The sequence below is a fragment of the Homo sapiens genome, chromosome X, assembly GCF_000001405.40.
Source record: "Homo sapiens chromosome X, GRCh38.p14 Primary Assembly".
Lineage (NCBI taxonomy): Eukaryota > Metazoa > Chordata > Mammalia > Primates > Hominidae > Homo > Homo sapiens.
This window is the reverse complement of record NC_000023.11, coordinates 133,839,244-133,866,615: the sequence shown is the minus strand read 5'-3', so window position 1 is coordinate 133,866,615 and position 27,372 is coordinate 133,839,244. Positions and strand designations below refer to the sequence as shown.

General features: G+C 39.1%; 1 protein-coding gene across 5 annotated transcripts in view, besides 1 other annotated feature; it reads left to right on the top strand.

Annotated features, from left to right (window-relative positions):
• Positions 1–27,372, top strand: part of GPC3 (glypican 3) — a 449,850-nt gene that overhangs the window by 118,979 nt on the left and 303,499 nt on the right. The window lies entirely within an intron of this gene.
• Positions 150–992: an enhancer, noted in NCBI's record as "NANOG hESC enhancer chrX:132999651-133000493 (GRCh37/hg19 assembly coordinates)". NCBI's record gives its function as "activates a minimal SCP1, AML or CMV promoter by ChIP-STARR-seq in naive and primed H9 embryonic stem cells {active_cell/tissue: H9 hESC(naive and primed)}" and the evidence as "EXISTENCE:reporter gene assay evidence [ECO:0000049][PMID:30033119]".

Genomic DNA, 27,372 nt, shown 5'->3' with positions numbered 1-27,372 from the left:
AAGAATATTATGAATGAGTTAACATGTTACTGTAGGTTAAGATAATCTAGAAATGTATCTGGAAAATCTATTTCAATTACCTTCTGGGTGCTTTTAGCAAAAATAATAAATTTCAAAGAATTAAGAGAGTCATAAAAAGAAGTGTTATGAGGGGAGTATACCTCATTTTTCACCTTCAAAATTAAATATTCACTGTGGAATTATGTACTGCCAGGGTCACTGCATTGCTTATAGGCATTAATAGCTGCCATAGGTAACTGCTGAAGGAGGTGAAGGGGACCATTTCCCATAACACAGAGATTAAAGCACGCAATTTACTGAAAATCCCCTAAATAAATAGCAACCTAATGCTCAGTTGTGCACTAAAAGGGATGCTGCTTCACATTTACAATTTGCATATGGATACCCTGTTGAAACTTGCATTTGCATATATAAGGTATTGATTTTGGCTAATGGAACATGAGGTCATTTCTCTTTAGTTTCCCTCAATTTAAGTATCATTTTCTTTCTCTCCTTATTGCTCACATAGAGGAAGGCAGAAAAATAGCTTCAGATGATTGTGTCTGGAAATACCAGATATTGTGGTCTATTTTTATTTCAATTTTTCATATTTAAATTGTCTGTATACCATAGTAATGTCAGTAGCTGGCTACTGCTTAAAACTAGAAATTTACATGACAAGTAATAGTTACTTTAAAGAGCTACTTAAGCTGTTTGAAAATGCCTCCAGACATCGCTGTAGCTTTGTCTACTAAAACCAGTGAGGCCCAGCATTCTTGGTCGACATGAAGTGGCTTGGTTGAACTTGTTGGTATACAATACAGTGAATTGCCTGACCCTCCTAATTGTGCTTCAGACTTAATGCCAAAATGGTGCATTAATTGGATGTGGGCTTCAGGTTTTTGTTAACTATCAGCTTCGTTGCTGACCAATTACCACATGTAGGAAAAGATTAGAAAATATTCTATTTTACTGAGATAACAAAATCAACCGATTTACATATACCCATACATTTTAAAGTAAGCAAACTTTGTATAGATTTTTGTTGCAGCAACCAAAATCCAGATGGATTTCCCCTTCTAACAGTGTATTTTCCTGTGTGAAATGTCTCTTGTCATTATTTTCCTCCCGTTTCATTTAATAAGAACATACGTAGCTCATTATGAAGTAGGTACCCTATGGAGAGGATTGCCTGTGACTTTCCAATATGAAATCACAATATTTTGTTTGCATCTATTTTATAAAAATTGCAAAAGTAATTTATTTGGCAAAATACCACCTGCAATAGTATAACCTTAGTTAAATTGTTTTGTTGCTTATATGTAAAAAAAGGACTCTTGTTGCTTCCCAGTACCAAAATCACACAATGTAATTAGTTATTCCCTTTTAGAAACTATGGTTGCAGTGATAGGCTTGAATTTTTGATGACAGAGGGAGAAAACATAAATATTAAAATATCTTTATTTTTGTGTGGGATACAAATAAAAGAACATCCCACAGATAACTGTAATTGCATTTTATTGAAGGAACAGAACTTGTAAATAGGGCAACAGCTGGACATGCTAAATTAAAAAAAAAGAGAACAATATCACATTTAAAGTACGAGTGTCTAAGAGGAAGTTTATAGTGCATGCCTCACATTTTAAATTCAGCAAGAAAGAACAGGGACATCCTTTTTCTCACTGGCAAGTTTGTAATCTGTGTAAAACACTAGGTATGTTTCCATAAGCTATTTAAATGCAAGTGACATTCAGAAAGAAGATCCAGGATGAACACTTGTCATATGAGTTTCATTTTATTCACACTTTGAGAGTTGTGTTTCACACTCATATTTGAATAAGAAACCTCCTTGCATCATGAATGAAATGTTTTCAACAACAAAAAAGTCACATGTTGGTAAATTGTAACACATTTTTCCATAAATTTTCACCACAACTTTAGAATTGTACTCCCAAGAAAAAATACTGTTAAATTGGGAAATACAGCCAATCTGTCAGTTACACTTGAGTTCAGGACAGACAAGGCTGCTGGGACATGTGAGCATTGGGTATTCATAGAGATTAGGCATGGGGCTGAGCAGTGATGGGGCCAGGTGGAAAGGAGAGGTGATGGGAGTTGCAGCTGTTTGTTTCTACCCACCATCATGATATGCCAACAGCTGGAGAACCAATTTGGTATAAATTCCCAGGACCTTACTGTCAGTTAATGTGAGCCTTCCAGGAACACATACCAAATAATAGCTTACTTTCCTAATTCTATGATGGGAAATTTCTTCAGAGTCAATCCCTGTGAAATGGGATCAGGAACAGTTTTAGTCAAAACCGTGAAGTGCGCACAGTTTGGGTTTCCTGCCCTTTAACCTTCCCTTCATCTGTCATCCCTTCTTCCTCCTCCCAAGGTGCTCAGTATCCTATGCCTTTAAAATATTATCTCAACTGTTCTTATTGCTTCCTGTCCCCTCTCTTCCCCCATGCCACCACCTTACTGCACCCTTTCCAGAAAATACTCTGTGAGCAAGGTTTTGAATCTGTTACTTGACCCTATTCTTCCTCCACGTAAAGATAACCAAGTATTCTTATTTTTCCAGACACCATCTGTGGGAAGGGAAATTTGCCAGTAATCAAAAAGGCGTAGTGTGTTATCTCTCTTAGGAATATTTTTGGCCGGGCGCGGTGGCTCACGCCTGTAATCCCAGCACTTTGGGAGGCCGAGGCGGGTGGATCATGAGGTCAGGAGATCGAGACCATCCTGGCTAACAAGGTGAAACCCCGTCTCTACTAAAAATACAAAAAATTAGCCGGGCGCGGTGGCGGGCGCCTGTAGTCCCAGCTACTCGGGAGGCTGAGGCAGGAGAATGGCGTGAACCCGGGAAGCGGAGCTTGCAGTGAGCCGAGATTGCGCCACTGCAGTCCGCAGTCCGACCTGGGCGACAGAGCGAGACTCCGTCTCAAAAAAAAAAAAAAAAAAGGAATATTTTTATGTTAACTAGGGGTGTGTGTGTGTGTGTGTGTGTTGATGTTGGTGGTGGTTGCACAGTGCCCTTAATACAAAGGAATGAAACATAAATGATAGCATTTATTAGTTCTGTGGCCTTCTCAGCACTCTTCAAATTCTATCACTTGAGTGCCCCTTTCTCTGCCTGCTAAGGCTATCTCTGAATAGGTGATGTTTACATCCATTTATTTACTGCCTACCAAAACCACAATTTAAAAATGTTCCTGTTGCCCAGTGAAGCCAAGAAGAAACTTTCAAGATTATCAAAATGTTCATTCCTAGTTAGAGAGAGAAAGATGGCATCGTTCTTCAAAATGTTTCTGTTACTATGCTTAAAGAAAATATTTTTTTCCTTAGAGCATTAGTTGGAGTATTGAGACTCAGATTTATGGCTATTCTATTGACAAGGGGTTATTGCAAAGATGTTTTATTTGCTGTTTCTAGGGGCTTATCAAAAATAATTGACTAGCTGTCATTTTCTACATGAGACCAATTACTATTGACCCAGCTTTGCTTATTGTTTTCATTAATGTCTAACAAAGAATGAAAATGTTGTTGAATGTTCTTAGAACTGACAAGAGAAAAGCAGTGCTAAGAAGTGAGTATGTATCTCTTGGCCTTCCCAGTGCTGCTAAGCAGAGCCAAAGCTCGATGCCAGGATGTTGTGTGAGCAACGGCTTCTACAGTATGCAAACTCAAAACTACCCTACGTGATGTTTGGGAGAATGGAGGATATGGAGAGGTAGCAGCCTGCTATGTGCAGTTGTACAGGTTGTGCTCTGCACATTCACATTGTGGTTCATGTGAAAGGCATTCTCTAGAGTTGTGCAAGGCACGACCATATGTGGAAGCCTGGGAGGCAGTAGAATAACTTCTGTGTCTTCTGTGATAAGTGTAGTCAGTATTATTATTATTATTATTATTATTATTTTGAGATGGAGTCTTGCTCTGTTGCCCAGGCTGGAGTGCAGTGGTGCGATCTCGGCTCACTGCAACCTCTGCCTCCTAGGTTCAAGCGATTCTCCCACCTCAGCCTGCCGAATAGCTGGGACTACAGGTGCCCATCACCACGCCCAGCTGATTTTTTTTTTTTTTTTGTATTTTTAGTAGAGACGGGGTTTCACCATATTGGCCAGGCTGGTCTCAAACTCCTGACCGTGTGATCTGCCCGCCTTGGCCTCCCAAAGTGCTGGGATTACAGGCGTGAGCCACCACACCCGGCCACTATTTTTTTTTTTTTAAAGGAAGCAATACAGCCATGAGATGGCTATCATTTATGACTTGGCACCTTATAAAGGTAAAGGTGGCCTGTTTTACCTTTGTTATGTGGTCTATTGGCTGAACATTAACCACATATTTACGCATCTTTCTGTTGGCATGTAGGAATGATTGCATTTCTGTAGTGGGAGGAGCCTGGTAAATGATTTTTTTGGCATATGCAGATTAGACAGAAAGACAGGTATGACTTAGTAAATAAGTGTTCCATTCTTCAAGAGTAGAGTAGACAGTAACATTCCTCAATTATTGAGTGGCAAAAAAAAAAAATCCCCTTTTTCTAAAATACCAAGATTGTACTCAATAAAGAGGAAATGGAAATGCAAGCACCATAATCACATGCAAAACTAATTTATGATTTTGGTTTAAGGAGCTTATATTAGGCTGTTCTTGCATTGCTATAAAGAAGTACTCAAGACTGTGTAATTTATTTAAGAAAAGAGGTTTGTTTGGCTCGTATTTCTACAGGCTGTACAGGAAGCATTGTGCTAGCATCTGCTTCTGGGGAGGCCTCAGGAAGTTTACAGTCATGGTGGAAGGTGAAGAGGGAGCAGGCACATCACATGGCCAGAGCAGGAGCAAGAGAGAGGGAGAGGAGGTGCCACACACTTTTAAACAGCCAGATCTCGTGAGAACTCAGTATCAACTAGGACAGCACCAAGCCATTGAGGGATGTGTCCTCAAAACCCAAACGCCTCCCACCAGGGCCTCCAACACTAGGGATTACATTTCAACATGGGATTTGGGTAGGCACAAATATCCAAACTATATCAGAGCTAAAAACTTCCTGTATGAAATTGGGCTTTCCAAACCCTTCAGTTTCTTGAAGCATCTCCAAATATATTTAGTATATTTGGAGTCCCCATTTAAATTAACACAGAAGACGTAACCAAATTTCAGTTGATCAAACTTTAGGATTGTTAATCTTGGGGAAACCATACCCAAAGTTGAAACTTTACATAAAATCTGGCCAGATTCTAGCTCCTAGAATCTAAATTCCAGATACTCCTGAGTCAGTTTCATTCTTGTGACTTAAATTAAGTGGTCCCTGCCATAGCACCTCTTCTTTTGAGAGCCCAGTGGCCCCAAGTTACCATAAATTAAGGGTAACCAAACTAGATGCAGCTAGATCACTTACTAGGATGTGATTATCTATAAGTAAAATTTTAAGTCTATGCAGTTTTATACGTATGCTGATAATGCACCTTCCCAATTGGGTTAAAATGGATATTCAATTCAATCAATTTTTTTTGAGACAGGATCTCACTTTGTCACCCAGGCTGGAGTTCAGTGGCATGACCACTGCAGATTCAACCTCCCAGGCTCAAGCAATCCTTTCACCTCAGCCTCCCAAGTAGCTGGAACTACAGGCACATATCACCATGCCTGGCTAATTTTTCTATTTTTTGTAGAGACAGAGTTTTGCCATGTTGTCCAGGCTGGTCTCGAACTCCTGAGCTCAGGCGATCCACCTGCCTCAGCCTCTGAAAGTGCTAGGATTACAGGCATGAGCCACCGTGCCTGGCCAATCAATTTTTTAAAAGATGACTTACCATATGTGCTAGAATATGATGATGGTTGAGATACTCCTCACCATTGATTCCATAGGACCTTCTACAGTGAACTTTGTAATTAACAACAGATCTACTGTCAAAGAGATTTGAGTTAGAATCATAGCTCCACTCTCTCCTAGCTGATCAGCTCTAGAGTAATCAGTTCATCTGTCTCAGGCTTAGTTTATTCATTTTTAGAATGAGAATAATGATAGAGTCTTCCTCATAGAAATGTTATTAGGATTAAATAATATAATGCATTCAAAGCACTTAGCACAGAGCCTGGACGTAAGCACTCATTAAATGCTAACTGTTAACAAGTTTTTAGTGGTCATAGTTTTTCACTCGGTGTTCCCCGAGTGCTGTTCAGTTTTGTTCTCCCTCAAGAGGGCTGTGAATACTTTGAGGAAAGGATTTTTTTTTCTGCCTGATTCCCCTTTGTATTCTTACCTTAGCCCAGTGAGTGTTTCGAAGTGGGAATACTGAGCCTCAGTTTCAAAATCTGGGGGAAAAAAACGGTACTAATAATGGCACTTAACAGGGTTGTTATGAGGATTTAAAGTATTTGCTATGATAACACATGAACGAAAGCCTCAGTGATTCACATATCCTACGATGCAGCGGTTTGGATATGATTTGTTTGGTCCCTGCCAAGTCTCATGTTGAAATCTGATCCCGTGTTAGAGTTGGGCCTGGTGAGAGGTGTTTGGGCCATGGGGAAGGATCCCTCATGAACAGGCTTGGTGCTGTCCTCAAGATAATGAGTGAGTTTCATTCTGTTAGTTTCCAGAACTGATTGCTAAAAAGAGCGTGGCACCACCCTCCTCCTCTCTCGATTCTGCTCTTGCCATGTGATCTCTCCTCCCCTTCACCTTCCACTGTGGGTGGAAGCAGCCCAAGTCCCCTTGCAGAAGCCGATGCTGATACCATGCTTCTTGTACAGCCTGCAGAACCACTATCCAAATAAACCTCTTTTCTTCACAAATTACTCAGCCTTTATAATAGTACAAACAGACTAACACACATAAGTATTTACTTCCCCTTCTTAACTCACAGAATTGCCAAGGCTCCAATGAGATGATACTGATGATGCTTTGCAAACTCAAAATCCTGACATAGATTTGTGTGATGAATGCGGAGAGTATCTGTAAATGTCTCTCAAAATTTTCTCTTTGTCAGAAACCTGAAACCTGCCCAGACTCGTCCTTGTTTGTGTAAGTCATTCACCACCATCTATAGCAGCTGGAACTTTCGCCTTCATCTCTCCCTACCCACACACAGCTAAAGTGGGCCCTGGGGTCCCTGAAGAGCAGATTTCCTAGGCAACAGTTGTTTTTTCTTCCCAGGTGCAAATATGGGCCTTCTGAGGGAATTCCCAGGGAGACCCCAAGCCTGGGAATTTTAGTCTGGAATTGCTTCACTCCAGGAATCCTTCCCTCAGGTCCTAATAGCTCTGCCTTAGGAAGTCCTCTCCAGGAAGACTGGCTCAGCACCCCTGTATGGTTGGGAAAGTTCCTAGAAATGGAGCCTTGAATAGAGGATGAGGGCTTCTGGGTAGGATTCCATGGTTAACACATTTGGGAACTGGTGGGTCAGACAGAGCCTTAATTCACTACTGTGTGATTTTAATCTCTGAGACAGATAATATATAGGGTTTGCTAAACTTATTAGATCAAAGGACAGTTAGTTTTCTTTTCTTTTTTTTTTTTTTTTGAGACAGAGTCTCACTCTGTCGCCCAGGCTGGAGTGCAGTGGCATGATCTCGGCTCACTGCAAGCTCCGCTTCCCGGGTTCACGCCATTCTCCTGCCTCAGCCTCCCGAATAGCTGGGACTACAGGCGGCTGCCACCATGCCCGGCTAATTTTTTGTATTTTTAGTAGAGACGGGGTTTCACCATGTTAGCCAGGATGGTCTCGATCTCCTGACCTCGTGATCCACCCGCCTCGGCCTCCCAAAGTGCTGGGATTACAGGCGTGAGCCACCGCGCCTGGCCAGACAGTTATTTTTCTAAGAAGTATTCATAGGACAAAATGTTACATGGAACTTTCTTTTGAAAATATGATTCCCCACCCCCCAACCCAAACCAAATGAGACTCATTCTGGTTTCTGTCTTCTAAAATGATATCCTTTTCATTAAGATGAATCTGGTCCCAATCCAAAGTGCAATGATGACTGACAGTAGTGTCTAGTATAATTGGAGCAGTGATGGAGGTGGGGCAGGTAAATGCAAGAGTGGCAGAAATTAATCTGCAGTCAGAAATTAATCTGACCCCAGACTAATGCTGGGGCAGGAGAGAGAGATATATGAGAGTGCCAGAATATGGTAGATATGGTAGATGCCAGGGCAGGGTGAAGGCATCCAGGTGGGAGCTGAAATCCAGCCAGGATACTGCTAGACAAGCTGTTTTTCTTATTACTCCAGCCACAGAAAGTACCTTTGACAATCCCTCCATCTCTTTTCTAGCTGGATGGCCCAGAGTGGGGACCTTTTAGCACCAGCGGGGACGCCTTTTCCTAATTTGCACAATAGTGCCCTATGTTTTAGTAGTGACCTTAAGGGTGGTTATAGGAGAAGGTGGAAAGACAAGAGTGTCTATTTGATGTAAGTGTAGGGAATATTAGTGATAGTTCGGAAATTTCTCCAGATAATGGCAAGACACTCCTTTAGCAGCCCCCCTTTCCTGAGTTTCCCATTGTTCCACTTATTAAACTCTGACATATGTCATGCCCTGTGTACCTGGATATCCATTCATCCTGATCACAACCTGATCTCCCACTTACCACACCATCTCAGAACATTGTCTGGCAGATTAAAATATCTCCCCAGCTCTGCTAACCCACTCTTATAACATGACTAGCTCCTCCTTCCCCCTTTTATCCCTTTATCTATAAGTACTTTTTAAAACAAGGGCTGACAGCTTTATTGTTCAGGAATAATTGTCAAAAGGCTTAGTGGACTGTACTTGCCAGTAAAAGGTTATTTGCTGGCTTGGGGTGTGTGCTCCTCAGCTGTCCTGTGTCATTCCAATTATATTGTCATATGGTGAGATTTGTGCCTGATGTCATTGTAGGCAAGGATATAGTAGAGGCAGCTCATTTGTATGTTGGTGCTTCCCAGTTCTCCATTTGTTGAGATGCTTTTATCATTCAGACCTTTGAGACAATCCAACCTGCTTCCTTCATCTTAAAGGTGAGGAAATGGGCCCAGAAAGGGAATGTGATTTACCCCAAATCATACTATGTGTTGGTGATGGGACCAAGATGAAATCCAGCTCCCCAGGCCTCTGGCAGGGACTCCTGAACTCATAGCTTTGGGCACTGACCTCATGGGGTGAAAGGGAAGATTATATTTCTATTTGAATGTTTTCTAACACATGAAATTTATATAGGTAGTTATACCTAGCAGGAGCCAAAGAACAATAATTTTAAAATAGTTCTATAAACTTCATATCCAAGTTAATTAAACAAACTTTTATTGATTTAAGAGAAACTGGTTAATCAAGTTCATGATTCATTAATAATCAATTTAAGTTGATATGAAAATATTTGTGGTATGAGCAAAAGATGGAGGAAAAAGGATCCAGAGAACAGGAAGAATAGGTCAGAAGAAGGGGGATTTAGAGAGAAGTGTTACTTGTGTGGTGGAGAGGGGTAGATAGAAATTTGGGAGTCGTCTGTAGAGAGATGATAAGAAAAGAAATGAGAATGGGTGAGATTGCTGGGGATAATCTAACAGAAACATTACATGGTAGATAATTAAAATACCCATTACCACTTGCTGTATATCTTTCTTTCCTGAGTTCAAAGCCTTTCACCAATGCTATCACATTTACCATCACAGTATCCATTAGAAGCACGCAGTAATTATTGATTCCCTAAAGCACACACGAGTTAAGTGACCTGACCCAAACCATAAGGAGTGGAGATAGGGCCTAAAAGTATTGCAAAGCTCTGTGGCAGTACAACAGACTCATTTAAATAATATATGCTTGTTCACCTTAGTCTTTGCTACTTCATGTGATAGTCCAGTTTTGCTTAATCAAGTTTTAGTTTGTAGCTATAAAGTTAGTACATGTCACTCTACAAAATTGTAAAAATATGGAAACCATAACATAAAACTCATACCATAATCCTACTATTTGAGGAAAATTGCTATTAACATTTTAGTGTAGATTCCTTTTTCTATGCATTTTAATACCTTTTTATAATTACAAAGATACACACTATTGTAGCAGAGAATGTGGAAAATTCAAAAATATATTAAAAAGAGCAGTAAAATCACCTGTAATTTTGATTACAGGTGATTTTGATTACATCTAGATGCTTAATGTTAGTTCATTCACCTGTGATTTTACTGTTCTTTTAAATGTTTTTATTTTTTTTTAAATTTTGGTCAACAGGTATATGAAAGGTACTCAACATCACTAATCATTAGGGAAATGCAAATAAAAGTCACTGAGATACCACCTCATACCTGGTTAGGGTAACTATGATAAAAAAGACAAGAGATAACAAGTGTTGACAAGGGTATAGAGGAAGAGAAACTCTTGTATACTGTTGGTGGGAATATAAATTAGTACATCCATTATGGAAAACAGTATGGAGATTCCACAAAAAACTGAAGATAGAATTACCATATGACTCAGCAGTCGCTCTTCTGTGTATATGCCCAAAGGAAATGAAATCAGAAGGTTGAAGAGATATCTGCACTCTCATGTTCATTGAAATATTATCACAATAGCCAAGATATGGAAATATTGACAGACAAATGGATAAAGAAAATGTGCTGCTTGTGTGTGTATGATGGAATACTGTTAATATTTAGCCTTAAGAAAGGAAGGGATCCTGCCATTTGCCACAGTATGGATGGACCTGGAGGACATTACACGGAGTGCAATAAGCCAGGCACAGAAAGCCAAATATTTTATGATCGTATTTATATGTGGAATCTAAAATCTAAAGGTCAAATATGTAGAGGTAGAGAATAAAACAGTCGTTACCAGAATTGGAGTAGTGGGGAGAAAATGGGGAGATGTAGGTCAGAGGATACAAAGTAGCAAACCTGTAAGATGAAAAAGTCAAAAGATCCAGTGTAAAACATAAGGACTATAGTTAATAATAGTGTATTGTACTTAGGACTTGTGCTGAATGAGTAGATTATATCTATTCTTGCCTCAGAGAAAGAAGGTAACTATGTGAGACGATAGAGATGTTAATTTGTTCCACTATAGGGACCATTTTACTATATATATATATATATATCTTGTAACAGCATATTGTATAACTTACATGTACACGATAAAATTTATTTTAAAAAAGGAAAATCTGGCTGGGTACAGTAGCTCATGCCTGTAGTCTCAGCACTTTGGGAGGCTGAGGTGGGCGGATCGCTTGAGCTCAGGAGTGCAAGAGCAGCCTGGACAACATGTAAGACCTCATCTCTACAAAAAATAATTTAAAAAATTAGTCGGGTGTAGGAACTCATGCTTGTAGTCCCAGCTATTCAGGAAGCTGAAACAAGAGGATCACTTCAGCCTGGAAAGTTGAGGCTGCAGTGAGCCATGATCGTGCCTCTGCTCTCCAGCCTGGGTGACAAAACAGGACCCTGTCTCAACAAAGAAAAGACAAGAGAAGAGAAGAGAAGAGAAAAAGAACATCTGGAATATCCACCAAAATTAAAAGGAAAAGTAAAACTACCTGTAGCTACTCCATCAAGTAATAATTACTGTTAACATTCTGATATATTTCCTTTTAGTATTTTTTCCTATGCATTCACAAAGAAAAATGTTTTATTAAAATGTGATTATGCTGTATATATATAGTTCTATACTTGCTATTTTCACTTAATATGGCATCATGAGTATTTCACCATATCATTATATATAGTTAAAAACATTATCTTGAATGGTTGCATAGAATTCACTTGTGTGGATATACCATAATTTCTTATGGACGCACCATAGTTTATTTCTTATTTTCACTAGCAGTGTATAAGAGGACCTGTGTCACTACATTCTCATTGTCATTGCATTTTAACTTCTTCTGTCTCTGCCAATTTGCTAGAAGAATGATGGAATCTCATTGTTTGAACTTTCATTTCTTTGCTAATGAGATTGAACTTTTTTTTGGAACAACTCAGTTTTTGACATGTGGCTTTCAACGCATACTGAATGCACAACTTCTAGTCAAAACCACATATACATGTATAGGACTCATGGCTCCAGTTGTGACAGAACAATGATTGCCTTGCTAATATATTTTATATAGCACTGGGCTCAGTGCCACAGCCGCTAAATAAATCATAAGCTCCTTGACAACCAGGCCCATATCTTAATCATTTCTGCATCCCCCATAACCCCCAGCCTATTGCCTAACACAGTGTAAGCTTTAATAAATATTTGTTAAATGGATATGGAGGTGGAGCTTTTGTGAGGGTCAATGTTAAGTTGCTGAAATAGCTTTTGAAATCTCTTCATGTGAAAAAAGAATCCCTGGAGTCAAAATTTAAAACCATTGCTCAGGCTTCAACCTATCATCTCATATGACCAGGAACAATGAAGAAACAGATCTTTCCATAAAAGGGAACTTCTTTTTGCCAAAGGATCCTTTTTCTAGCCATGGTATCAAATCCACAAACACAGCACCATTATGATAGGGGAGAGTCAAAAGTAAAGCTACTAGAAATGAGCAAATGGCTACAAAGGAAAATGAATGGATGAGAAGAAATATGGGGGAAAAAAGAAAAAAATATGCCATCTAGAGCTATTTTTCCTTCACTTTTCTACTTGGTAAATAGAGCAAGAAAGCTGCAAAGACTAGTGGAAAAATTTTTGGATAAGGAAACTGAGGCTTAAAGAGGTGAACTGACTTGTCTAAGGTTATGTAGCTTCTATAAGAGCATAGCTAGGACTGAGAGGAGTGTCTTTTTCAATGAGATCCTACTCCTATCCCCTACACCTCACAGCAGTGCATCAAAGCAGTTTGGATTTCTCCATTCTCCTTGCCAGCTCTATACTTTAAATATCTATCTCTTCTTGCACTTCTTACACTCTCTTCTTGCACTTCTTATGCTCTACTACAATTATTTGTTTTCATTTTTGCCTCCCTCAATAGATTCTGTTCTTCAAGGGCAGGAACTGAGTCCTGATCTCTATAACTTCAATATCTAGCATAACGCTTGATTCATCTAGATGCTTAATGTTAGTTCATGAAAGATATCATGTTAATTACCAAAGCTGTGTTGTTATGTTTTGGCATTCAAACCTGAGCATCTGGAAATCTTTCTAGTTGAATAAATTTGCCAAGTATATAGTAACTCCCAATAATTTCTGCTAATTGTTAGGGTTTTGCCATAAGTAAGGCTGTACTTGGAGAGGAGAGAAATGACTACTGTAGAGAAATGACAACAGGCTAGGGAAGAGGAATATGAGGGAAACAGAGCAGATTAGGGAAAACTGAGGAGACTAGAGGAGGGAGATACTGGATAGAAGAAGAAGATGTTATGGGAAATTAGCCATTAGTGTTAACCATATGCTTTTGTGGTACGTGTTCTCATATACATACATATCTCACAGTAATTCTTTGTGTAGTATCACACCCACTTTACAGATGGGACAACTGAGACATGTTAACTGATTTGCCCAGAGTCACACAGTTAGGAAGTGGCAGAGATGAAATCTAAATTCATGTCTGTCTAATTTCAAAACCTGTATTTTTCCTTGTGTCTTTCTAATACTCCATGCTGCCTCTCACTGGCATTGAAAGGAATAAAACAGAAGAAAGCTTTTTTTTTTTTTTTTTTTTTTTTGGAATTTAAAAATTGCACGTCAAATTAACCAAATATTAATGATATACCATGTCTTCTTTTGAAACTTTCTCCTAAATTTCCCTGATAGTTCTTTAGCCTACTTTATTTATGTAACATTACCTGTGAAGTACTCTACCAGATAGGGTCAAGTAGAAGTTATAGGTGGTAATGGTACTAATGAAAGAGAACAGCAGTATTTGAAAGCACCAAAGTTATACATACATTATCTTGCCTCATCATTGAGGGGATAAAATGCCAGCGTGTGTGCTGCTGTTGGAAGCCTGGCCACCTTCAGTTCACCTCCTGCACTTTTGCCACTCTCTTGGCTTTACTGAACTTCCCACAAGCTCCATGATTCCCACTTCAGCATGCTGCTTATCTTGTGATTGGCAAAATTCCTATTTTTTAGTTTCCCACAAGCAATTGGCAGCTCATTAGAAGTGATTAGTTGCTTTCCAGGATTTTAAACGTTTAGAATGTATTTAGTTCCCCAAGAATGAGGAAATCTTGACTGGATCTTCAAAGAATCCCATTTTAGCTGCGTGTTTTCAAAAGTAAAGTTAATATCCATAGCAGTTTATTGTACCTAGTTGTCTAAACAATGTTCCAGATCCAATAAAGATTTTCTAATTATTCCCATCCTCCTTTCTGGAGGCAGCCTGGTACCAGCTTTGAGAGGAGGCAGGAAGATGGGTCTGTCTCACCCCTCTACCCCTCAAAGGCCTTATGAAGTTACAAATTCCACCTGTTCTGGAGAGGAACTCAGACTGAATAAAATATTAGGTCATTTGGTAGAATATCTTGACTTGGTTTTGCCTTAATGCATTTTATCATTATTCTACAAGAATCTAAAGCTTTCTTAGAAAAGTTTGCAAAATACAGTTAGGTTGACCATGTAAGATCTAAGACCTGGAAGGGATATATATAAGCCGTTTAATTCGTCCCTCTGCTTAGGTACATCAATACCTAAATCATAAATGAGCGATGGTTTTTATCCATTTGAAAATATTTCTAAATGCAGGTATTTTGTGTCTTCTTAGTCAGTAGTATGTTCTGGTGTTTAAGTCTCTGGCATGGTCAAGAAGTTCTCCCTAATGTTTGAATTCTTTTCTAGCTGTGCTTTTATGCCCAATTGATATGAGCAATTTAGAAATCCTAGGGAGATGCATGACATTGAAATTTCCTGAAAAGTACTCAGAGTTGGATTACAGTAGAAACAATGAAGAATCGCGCCAGCCTGCAGAGATATAAGCAGAATATGAAAATGTATAGCTGATTTCATCATGGATTTGCATGCAAATAAGGATGAAGCAGTCTATGGGAGGGGGAAAACAACAGGTAGAGAAAGTAGAACTTATACTAATGCCATTGGAAATGAATCAGTAGAGGAGAAAATTTTTAGGGCAATAATGGGAAATAATTGGAAGAGATAGGGCCCACTTCAGAGAGATTTGAGGGGATAGATTTTTAAATAGAAAGAACAAGATTGATTGTATAACCCATGCAATCTGCACTATAACAAGTATATTGGGAAGTAGGGAAGGGAAATAGATACAGGAAAATACTGACTGGTTTATCAGGAGGGTAAGATGGTGGTATAGTACCTAGAGAGCTAAGTAATCCACTGATTTTGAAGCACAAGTAAAGAACAACTCTGGTGAAAGTGTAATTGGAATGATGTGCCTTTATAAGGCCTTGGCACAATGAGAAGTTACATTTGAGAAGTATCCATTTTGAGTGGGTATTCATGTAGGCCAGGATAAAGATTTTCCTAGAGAACAGCTGAATATAAATAAGTAAATCTTTGAGGAGTAGATTTTGGAATAGTTCATTTAGACAAATGAAAGTTCATGTTTATTATTATTATTTGTTTGTTTGTTTTGGAGACGGAGTCTTGCTCTGTCACCCAGGCTGAAGTGCAGTGGCACGATCTCAGCTCACTGCACCTCCAACTCCCAGGTTCAAGCAATTCTTCTGCCTCAGCCTCCCGAGTAGCTGGGACAATAGGCGCCCGCCACCACGCCTAGCTAATTTTTTTTTTTTTTGTATTTTTAGTAGAGATGGGGTTTCTCTACCCCGTGGTAACCAGGATGATCTTGATCTCCTGACCTTGTGATCCACCCGCCTTGGCCTCCCAAATTGCTGGGATTACAGGCATGAGCCACCAGAAAGTTTGTGTTTAATCCTGAATATGATCACTGTTTCACTTCTAATTGGAGATTCTGCCTAAGGAAAGAAGTTAGAGTAGGTAAAGACTATTGTCACCCAGAGTACATTCTTGGGACCCTAAGCGGAGAAGTTGCCATTAATGAGGAAGGATGAGCTCACCAAATAGATATGCCTTGTACATACTTAAAATTGCATGATCATTCTGATAGTTATGAAATGGAGCTTGCATGATTCTGAGCCCACTGCCTCAGCTAGCATTCCTTTGTACTGGTGTTGGAAGTTTCTGACCAAGGCTGGCAGCCTTGGTAGCAAGGATTACCACGTAAATACTATTTCTGTGTTTGGTAGTGATATTAGCTATTGATCTTCACCTCCCTCAGAAATTTGGCAGTAATGATCTCTTCTCATTCATCATGATACTTCCCAGGCTTTGGAGATTCTGATAATTGTGTGAAGTTCTGAAACTACTCTTCAAAACATTTTACCAGTGACTGTAGAGAAGCTAATGAGAAACCTGTGAATTTGCTGGGTTTGAACAGTAAAGTTTGAATTTTTCTTTTTCATCTTAAACTGTAAGGAAGAGCTCAGCTAGCTTTATTTACCAAAAAAAAAAAAAAAAAAACAAAACCCAAAAAACAAACAAAAAAAATACCCCACAAAGTCATATCGTAAAGATGAACATATCTAATGAACAGAATTTTAGTATCTTGGGCCTTAAAGTTATAATCTCATGGCTTAAAGTGAAGGTTATTGATTTCATCCATCATAATATTTTGCATAATAATCCAGACTTTAAATGAAAGAAATAGAGAATTAGGTAAGTTCTGATCAGTGAACTACTGATAAGGTAACAGTTTCTTTAAACCCAGAAGATGGCTGTAGTTCAACTCATTAAACATTAGCACTCAGGCAGTTTCCTTGGAGTCAGAGGGATCCAGAGATGAGTCAGCCATGATCTCTGCCCTCAAAGGACTTCTTGTCTGATAGGAAGGAGAAGCCCAATAATAATCTAAAGTTGAATATGTTGAATGTGGTTAAGAGAGGTAAAGACAGCCCTCTGGAATTTAGGCTTGGTAGAGATTACAGTTGAGTTGGGGCAGGGAGATCAGGTGAGGACTGGACCAAAGGATCAGGTGACAGTTAAGTGGGTCCTGTCTGCAGCAAGGATCAGGCAGGCTGGGCACAGGAAATGAGATTTTTCTGTTACTTTATTACCAGGTGGAAAAGATTTGAAAGTGGTCGAAGGGAAGCTTACCAAAAAAACATAAATAAATAAATAAAAGGAGGCTGATGAAATAGAAATGGTTACCTCTTCAGCTGAATACTGATATTATGGTGAATTATGGACACATTATTGTTACACCTTGACAGGTCAGTATGGGTGTACCTCCATAGTCTATAAAATTTGTATTTGAATTTCAGAGTTCTTACTAGAATCGATCAGGAAGTTATTATAGCATTATGGAACTTCAGTGAACTCATTTAATCTGTTGTCCAGCCTAGTTTGTTATAATTAGGTGAGAATACGTTTTATTTTTAAAACATCTTTAGTTCATTAGCCGGGCGTGTTGGCGGGCGCCTGTAGTCCCAGCTACTGGGGAGGCTGAGGCAGGAGAATGGCGTGAACCCGGGAGGCGGAGCTTGCAGTAAGCCGAGGTAGCGCCACTGCACTCCAGCCTGGGGGACAGAGCGAGACTCTGTCTCAAAAAAAAAAAAAAAAAAAAAAAAAAAAGAAACTTTAGTTTTCCTTAGTAATCTGTTCAAGCATTTGCTATTTAACCAAACTCTTGTAAACGGTATTTTATCTTGTTCTGTCATCAGTACAGATGGAGATCAGCCATGTTTATAATATCCTGCAAGACTTATTAAATGTTTCCCCCATTTTATCTAGGCTTACATAGTCCCACTGTCATTGCCTGTACTCACAACCCCCTTACTCTCCATTGCTTTGATGATCTTTCTTTTTCTCTAAACCTCTATATTCTATGCATCTTTCCTTTATTCCCTTCCTCCCAGACATATTTAGAGAGTGGGTCAGCCACTGTGCTAAGTGCTGCAACATATCAGCCCTCCTTCTCCCACAACACTGATTTGTACCTTGCTGGTACTGTGCTTATGTGACTGCATGGCCCTTATAGAGACTATATACCATAAAGGAAGGTTGTGCCTTTGAACTTTATGCTTTTAATGACTTTCATGAAAAAAAAATTAATCAGTGTCACTAGAAATGCTAGATTTGTTGTCTATTTCCAATTGATTTCAGTTTCCTATGGGAATGTGACCAGCATTGATATTCTTGCAGTCTATCAGCATGCATGCTTCAATGCTGCTTTTGTTTGGTATGGCCACTTCAGTTGGTTTATGTGAAGATTGTGTATCTCCTAGTTCATCTTCCAGTCCATTACCCTTCTCTATCTGTGTGCTCTATGGGATGAATTCCACAGAACGTTTTAGGAAGCAGGGCTATGATGGATTTATTTTAAGGTAAAAAATTATTTCTCTGTTTTTTCCTTGAACCACTCCCCCAACTCCAATCTCTTTTCTCAGTCTCACTCTATATTTCTTTACCCCCCAAAACAAGCATAGAGTCAGTAACCATAAAGTGTCATTTGTCTCTGATTTAGGTTTGAGTCTGAACTAATTTTGAATTCTTGGCTGTAATGGATGCTTTCATAATAATTATTGGCAGCACCTCTTTCCACCTTAGTTTTTATTAATACTGACTGATCTTGTGTAAGAAATATGAAAAATATTTCCCTTTCCTCTATCACTTCATGTATTTGAAATGACATCCCTTCTCTCTTCCTTCATTGAAGTGGCAGCATTGATTTTCTTTTGTTAATCTCTGCTTCTGTTTTCAGAAACAACAATCAGACACACATCCCTGCAAATAGCTGTTCTTTTGTCTCTTCTAAATAGTATTTTTAATACAAATTTATTTTCCTATGGTCAGCTTCTCTTGTACATTAATAGAAGCAGGCACCAGTTCTCTTGTACGTTAATAGAAACAGGAACCAGAGAAATAACTCAAAATATTAGTCATGATTCTGACTCCCACCCAACAAGTCAGGCACTCTGCATTGCACTTATTTTCTGTAAGTGGGCAAAACCCTGAGGATTAACTAGTTCTAGTTTGGAAAACAGTTAATTCATATGTTTGAGCATGACTTATGAAAAATTTCCTGTTTGTAGATACGTGTGTGTGCTCACTGTTGTAAAAGATCTTTCTTTCAAATCTGAAAGCCCTGAGCTGGAGAGCTGTCATGGAAAAAAGGCAATGGAAAAGTCTCCTAAAATTGTTCCAATTTAAGTCAACTTGCTCCATTTATAAAACTGTTATATAGGCAGTCGGATGTCTGCTTTCAGCAAGTGCATGCGCAGTGGGACCTGAAATTGAGAGCATGTGAAATCCGCAATTCGTATGATAAGATATTCTTCCTGAATAATGAAAATTGCAGTAGGGAAACAAACCTTCAAGCAGGAATCAGCTTTTTAAGCATTTTTTTTTAAAAAGATATCTGTGCCCATTATGAAGTAAGAGAGCGTAAAATGTACCTTTTGGCGAGAGAAACAAAAATACTCCTTACTACAGATGGCAAACTGTAGACAAATGCCCTGTATGTGGTATCACATGTAATTATATCATTTTGTCTTGAAACATTTTATGAGTTTGCCTTGCTGGATGTCTGTTGTCTTTATCTTGTCTCATATGCATATACTCAGTTATATGTATGTATACATATAATTTGATTGGATAAATCCACCTAAATTAACTACTCTTGGCTTTTTCTTTGCCATGTGGCTGGAGGGGTCACATATTTGAGATTTCAAAATAAAGAACATTTAAGGTATCAGTGGAAAAAACTTAGGAAAAAAATCTGTTATCTGTTCTTATAAGGAGAAGTTCAGGTAATGGAAGATTCAGAGTGAATTCTATGAGCAAAGCTGGTTTAGGTGATGAAGTTTCAATTGATACAACTATATCAAAGCTTGTGGTAGCAAATCTTAGAATTCTTCATCTATAACTAACAGGCACAAAGACAATATAGTATGCATTTATTAGTACTGATTAAACTACAAATATAAGCTATTCTGGTGGCAGTTAGAAAGCACAATGTAAAGAAAATAAAAGGAACTACTTTTTTTTAGGATTTCAGAAGGAAGGCAGTTTTACAGAACTGAGTGAGTTCTGCCTTTTCATGTTGGATATCGTTCTGGTTCTCATCCAGACTAGTTCAAAAGTTCAGTATAATAAATTTATGATGACTGTGAAACCAAACTATTTCTTCAGGTCTTTGGAGAGAAATATGGAAAGAGTAGTGGGGAATACTAATATGTACTTTCATTAGCTATGTCATGTATAAAGGAGGTAAATATTAGAGTATTTGTCATTCACTTCAGAAGGATGCCATTAGAAAATGAAACTGGCAAGAAGTCTTCAGCAGCTCCCAAAAGAAAAGTTATGTTTTCGAGGTCCAGTGTATCATTGGAGTGGGAAGAGGATTATTTCCATATGTGTCAGGGTTAGTTTGTATTTGAGGTTATTTAAAAAGAAAGAAGTTGAACCTCATTAATTCAGTATTCTGTTAATTTGTAAACAAGATTGCCTGAGGGAGCTTTTAAACTGCTTAAAAGAGCAAACTTTTCAAACACTTTAGAGGTAGTGCCTGGTATACTAATTTCAAACAGTTATTTGCATGTGAGGCAAACATCCTTGCTGGGCAACATTTTGTTCATTTCACTCTAGCTATGGTATGCACAGTAATCCTTTCCTAAGTCTGAATTCCCTTAATCAAAATTATAGCCTAGGCAGACTTGCATCTATGTACTTCTTTCCCACCATCATCTCAAGAATTTTGGATAGAGATTTATACAAATCTCCATTCACTCCAAGTTTTGAATTTGGGAGCATTATCAAGGTACCCCAAATCTAACACCTGGATGGAGGATTGGTCAATGAAAAAGTGTCTCTTAATATTTTATTTGTAACATGGAACAGTGAATTTACAAGGATCTCATTAAAACTGTGAGAGAGGAAGACCCTGGAAAGTTTGTAATCAGCGGATTAAGTGAAAGTTAATTGTACAGCATCCTTTAGTGCTCATTTACCAAACACAATTGATATTCTTTTTACTTAATGTGCTGTTTCTGTTGCTTTATTTTGATGAGCATTAACAAATATTTCTAAGAGTTCTCTTAGGGTCACTTGTAACCACAGTCTCCTAAATTCTAGGGAATGTGGCATTGTTCAGCTCAAGAGAAAATTCTGAGGGAGCCCAAGGCCTTAGGTACTTATGTTTAGCTACTGGGACTCACTTTGATCCCAGAACACTGGGACCTTTTTCTGAGTGTCTGAGAAGTAGACTTTCTCTTTCTAGTTGTATTCTATTATTCTTGCTCGAAGGCTAAACTTTTCCTAAACTCCCCTCATCTTTGATGAAAGAAAAGCTTTCACTCAAACCCCCATTTTCTGTCCTCAGCCAGCCACATTGTTACCTCAAGCCTAATTCTCATTATTTTGAGTCAGCAGGACTCAACTAGTTTGCAGCTATGCATTCTCCATACTTTATTTTACACTTTTGTCTGATTCCTCGCAGTTTTCAGCTCCTTTCAGGCCAGACTTCCCCTTTCATTTCATCTGATCTATTTTAAGTGTCATTTGTGCTTCTCCTGACCAACACCTTATCTATTCCAAATTAGCATATATAAGAAAGTTGTTTGTCTAAACTTGGAAGGTAGCTTCCTACTCCCACCAAGGAGGACTGTGAGGGGAGTGCAAAAAGGGAAGTTTGTATTTCTGTTCCTTCTGCTGTTACCTACAACCTCCCCGTCTTCTGAACTGGGACCCTCAGGCTTTGGCCCTGGATTAGGTATTTTTTCTATAGCTCCCACCAGCTGAGGACCACTGAGTTATTTACTCTTTATCTACAGTGAAGATATTTTTGAACTAAACATGGTAGGGGCATGTGGTCTAAAAATGGGACCAAATATTAAAAATCAGAATTTTTCCTTATATGCTGTTATTCTTGTAACTCAACTATATCTTTACTCCACTTTCTATAATCTCCACTGTAGGTAGCAGCGGAGGGTGAGGGGATGTGTTGGGAGTGAGAGTGTTTTGTGAAACAAGTCTTGCCTCCCTTAGAATGTGAAGAATAAGTTCTGGTTTATTCTTTTATTTTATTTTCTTTACCCTTCTTCTTTTTTTCTGGAAAGCAAAATGGATTTACCAAATAAGGTTTCACAAATAACTGTACTCGGTCTCCCATTGATCTAGGGCCCCTATACAAACAGCCCTGGAGTTGTATGGCTGGTGACCTCCTCATGCTTTTTCTTACGAAGAATAAGTACAACCTACCTCACTAGGGAGTGTCCAGTCATGTGTTTCCAGTTTTGTTAAAGTGTGACTGAATGTGTATGTTTAAAGTGTACAGTGTGATCATTTGATATACATTGTGAAATGATGATCACAATCAAGCTAATTAACACAACAATCACCTCACCTAGTTACCGTTTGTGTGTGTGTGGTGGGAACACTTAAGATCTACTCTCTTAGCAAATTTCAAGTATACAGTTTTATTAACTTAGTTTCCATTCTGTACATTAGATTCACAGAACTTATTCATCTTATAACTAAAAGTTTGTACCCTTTGACCAGCTATTCCTCATTCCTCCTGTCTCACACCTCCCTTTCTCCTTTCACCGAGTCATTTTGTGAAGGCTCTACTGGCCATGGTTAACTTGTCCTTCCTCACAGGTTTATTTTGCTAGCCATATTCTCTCTTTCAGAAGACATGTTGATTACTCTTTTCACTTTCTGGTGATGATTGTCTTCTGTGAGATCTATTATGTAAGACTTTATCTCTTGCTAAAAGGATGTATAAGCTAAGGAAAGATTCCTGGCAATAGCTATGTAATAAAGAACAGGGAAAAAGTACAATGAAATGTATTAAAAATGACTTTGTGGAAGAAATTTTTTTGTATCACGAAATGCATAGTTACATAGTTGCCACAGAAACTTTCCAGATTTTTAAATTATTGTCTATATTCATGAGAGGTAACCATTTGTATAGTTATCTATTGCTGCATAACGCATCACCCCAAAACTCATTGCTTAAAACAACAATAATAATTTATTATCTCTCATGGTCTCTGTGGGTTATGAATTTGGGAATGGCTAGGTTGGATGATTCCTGCTGGAGGTCTCTAATGGGGTCATGCATTAGGCCATTCTTGCATTGCTATGAAGAATTATCTAAGACTGGGCAATTTATAAAGAAAAGAGGTTTGATTGGCTCATGATTCTACTGGCTGTACAGGAAGCGTGGTTCTGGGATTTGCTTCTGGTGAGGGCCTCAGGATGCTTCCAATAATGGCAGAAGGTAAAGGGAGAACAATTGCATCACATGGCAAAAGTGGGAACAAAAGAGAGGTAGAGGTGTCAGGCTCTTTTAAACAACCATATCTCACCTGAACTGAGTGGGAACTCACTTGTAACCAAGGAGATGGTGCTAAACCATTCATGAGGGATCTGTCCCCATGATCCAGTCACCTCCCACCAGGCCCCACCTCCAACATTGGGAATAGAATTTCAACATGAGATTTGGGAGAGGACACACTTCCAAACCATATCAGGTTGCAATCTAATGTTGGCTGGGGCTGCAGTCATCTGAAGGCTTGTTTGGGGCTGGAAGACCTGTTTCCTAGTGACTCAATAACATGGCTGCAAGTTGGAACTGACTGTAGGTGATGAGACTCAGTTCCTCTCCTTGTGGGCTTCTACATAGGTCTTCTGTAATATCCTTATAGCCTGGCAACTGATTTTTCCCAAAACAAGCAATCCAGGAGACCAAGATGGAAGCTACAATGTCTTTTTTGGCCTATACTTGGAAGTCACACATCATCACTACTGCTGTGTTCTATTGGTCATGCAGGGCCAAGCCTGATTCATTGTGGGAGGAGACTATCCAAAGTCAAGAATACCAGAAGGTGTGCATCATTGGGGACCATCTTGGAAGCTGGCTATCACACCATCCATATGAATGAGAAATAAACCTTCTGAGTATCTGATAATAATAATAATAACAACAACAATAACAGAAGCTCCTACTTTTCTGTCTTAATAATTTCTATATAGAAACTCCTAGTGTAATTTCTGGGCTGGCACGCACTCCTGGTTCTCTTCTTTCCTCCTTGCCTTTATTTTGTCTATCACTTTCATGGAACTCTTTCTTCAGTCTGCACTTTCAACATGTTTCCTTAGTGGCTTATCTTTAGTTCTTTATTCTCACTGTACATGCTTTACCTGGGTGACATTAAGGGTGCTGTATTAGTCAGGGTTCTCTTAGAGGGACAGAACTAACGGGTATGTAATATATATATTACTGTATACATATATAATGTATTATATATAATGTAATACATTATGTATATAATATAATATAATGTAATATATATAGGGGAGTTTTTAAAAATTTAATTATTATTATTATTTTTTTTTTGAGACAGTCTCACTCCGTGGCCCAGGCTGGAGTGCAATGGCACAATCTCGGCTCACTGCAACCTCTGCTTCCCGGGTTCAAGCGATTCTCCTTGCCTCAGCCTCCCAAGTAGCTGGGACTACAGGTGCCCATCACCACACCCAGCTAATTTTTGTATTTTTAGTAGAAATGGGTTTTCACCATGTTGTCCAGGCTGTTCCTGAGCTCCTGACCTCGGGTGATCTGCCCGCCTCTGTCTCCCAAAGTACTGGGATTACAGGCGTGAGCCACCATGCCCGGCAGGGAGTTTATTAAGTAATAACTTACATGGTCACAAGGTCCCACAATAGGCTGTCTGCAAGCTTGCGGAGCAAGGAGAGCCAGTCCGAGTCTCAAAACTGAAGAACTTGGGGTCTGATGTATGAGGGCAGGAAGCATTCAGCAGGGGAGAAAGATGTAGACTGGGAGGCCAGGCCCATCTCTCTTTTCACATTTCTCTGCCTGCTTTATATTTGCTGGAAGCTGATTAGATTGTGCCTACCAGATTAAAGACGGATCTGCCTTCCCCAGCCCACTGATTCAAATATTAATCTCTTTTGGCAACACCCACACAGACACACCTAAGATTAATACTTTGTATCCCTCAATCCAATCAAGTTGACACTCAGTATTAACCATCACAGGTGCCCACTGCTGAGGTCTCAAATCCGTATTTTCTGCCTAAACTTCTTTTATTTCCAGCATCTATCTCTAAAATATATTGCAAATTGACCATTTTCAAATTCTAACTGATCACTTTTCTCTCTAAGCCTACTCTTCCTGTACCCTCTTTCTGATATCTGACATGAAGTTGACATTGGAGTGTTTACTGAATGAATCTATTTATGCATCGTGACATCTCTAATTGTAGGCATCTTTATGCTTTTCAGTGTGGGCAAATGTCACACTGGCAAAAATAAATTATTAGACAACTTTAGGGCTGGGCACGGTGGCTCACACCTGTAATCCTAGCACTTTGGGAGGCTGAGGCAGGAGAATTGCTTGAGCCAAGGAGTTCGAGACCAAGCCTAGGCAACATAGGGAGACCCCATCTCTACCAAAAAAAAAAAAAAAAAAAAAAATTAAAAGATTAGCCAGGCATGGTGGTGCTATTAGGTCCCAGCTACTCAAGAGGCTGATGTGGGAGGATTGCTTGGGCCTGGGAGGTTGAGCATGCAGTGAGCCACTGCACTCCAGGCTAGGTGACAGAACAAGAACTTTCTCAAAAAAGAAAAAATAAAACTTTGATAGAAGAATTTTTTAAAAATATAGGCAATACATTAGGAATAAATGGGTAAAAGTAAACATACACATAGATATAATACTTATGGTTCATTTCAAACACTTATTTATGAACCAGAAAAGATGCCTGAGAGTCACTGTCAACTATTACTTGAAGTCTCAATGCCCAATACTGCCATAAGGGATTCGTAATCCTAGGTATTATCAGGATGGAAACAAAGCTCTACCTTTTCAAAAATTATTTTATTGGGTATTCTTCAAATGTGGCCTTTTACAATCACCTCTTGTCCCAACCTCAGCATAACTTCAGCTTTCTCCTTTGACCTACTCTGTCTATATAATGCCCTGGTTCTGAGAAGCTTAGACTAAAACTTTTGTCAAAGGATAGGAAAAGAGCATGGTGATGATGGTGATGATGGTGATGATGATGGTGATGAAGATGATGATGATGATGATGATGATGATAGTTAACATATAGTAATTTTCTTCTATGTACCAAATGATGTGCTAAGTGGTCTGTATGCATTATCTCATTTAACCATCACAACAACCTCGCGAGATAGGTACTACTATCTTTAACCCCATTTTAGGGATGAAGCCACTGAGGCTCCCAAGATCACACAGTGAATAAGATATGCATTCAGGTTGAGATTGACACCTGTCTTACTCAAAATCTCTTTGTAATCCCTTCCAAACCCCCTCCCCTAGCCTCAATCACCTTAATAAGTGCTGTATACCTTCTTAAAGGATATAATACTGCCTAAAGTCACTGAGTTAGAGGAAACTCCAAAGGTCATATATATAGCCTATAAACCTACATATGTGAGATATAAGACACTATAGCTTCTGCTGTTACTTTAGTGTCCTCTCTAAGTTGAAACTCTCAACAGCTCAGTGAAGTATCTATAAAGGATATTATCACCACTTAGGGGATATGTGACTTGCCGAAAATCACCCAGTAAGCTTGTGATAGAGCTCGAACTAGAATCTAGGCCTCCTAATACCTAGTTCCTTTTTTTCCTTCTATTTTAGTGTTCAAAGTTATGAGTATGGAACCACATTTCTAATTATCATTAGCCAGAAGATACACATGACTGTTCTGAGATGTCTTTTTTTTTTTTTTTTTTTGAAACGGAGTCTCGCTCTGTTGCCCAGGCTGGAGTGCAGTGGCGTGATCTCGGCTCACTGCAAGCTCCGCCTCCTGGGTTCACGCCATTCTCCTGCCTCAGCCTCCCGAGTAGCTGGGACTACAGGCGCCCACCACCACGCCTAATTTTTCTTGTATTTTTAGTAGAGACAGGGTTTCACCGTGTTAGCAGGGATGGTCTCAATCTCCTGACCTCGTGATCTGCCCGCCTCAGCCTCCCAAAGTGCTGGGATTACAGGTGTAAGCCACCACGCCAGGCCTGTTCTGAGATATCTTAAATGATATAGATTTTTATAACTGGGGAGAACAAAGGACCAATACCAGTCATGTGCTTGAGAACTACCATATCAGTGTTGATGACTCATTTGCTTTCACCCAAACGCCCTCTTGAGTCCTTTAAACTTTTTTCCCTTCAACTTTATTGAGGTATAATTGACCAAAAAAATTGTGTATATTTAAGGTATACAGCATGGTGATTTGATATATGTATACACTGTGAAATGATTACCACAATCAAGCTAATGAACACATCCAACTTGTTTAAAATAAGTCTATTATCCCAGGATTCCCAGACCCCCCTGATAAAAGTCCTGGGTCTTCCTGCAAGGCATGCTTTAATACAGCTTCTTCCCACAAGGGGGAGCCAAAAATGCTTTGGGGGCTAG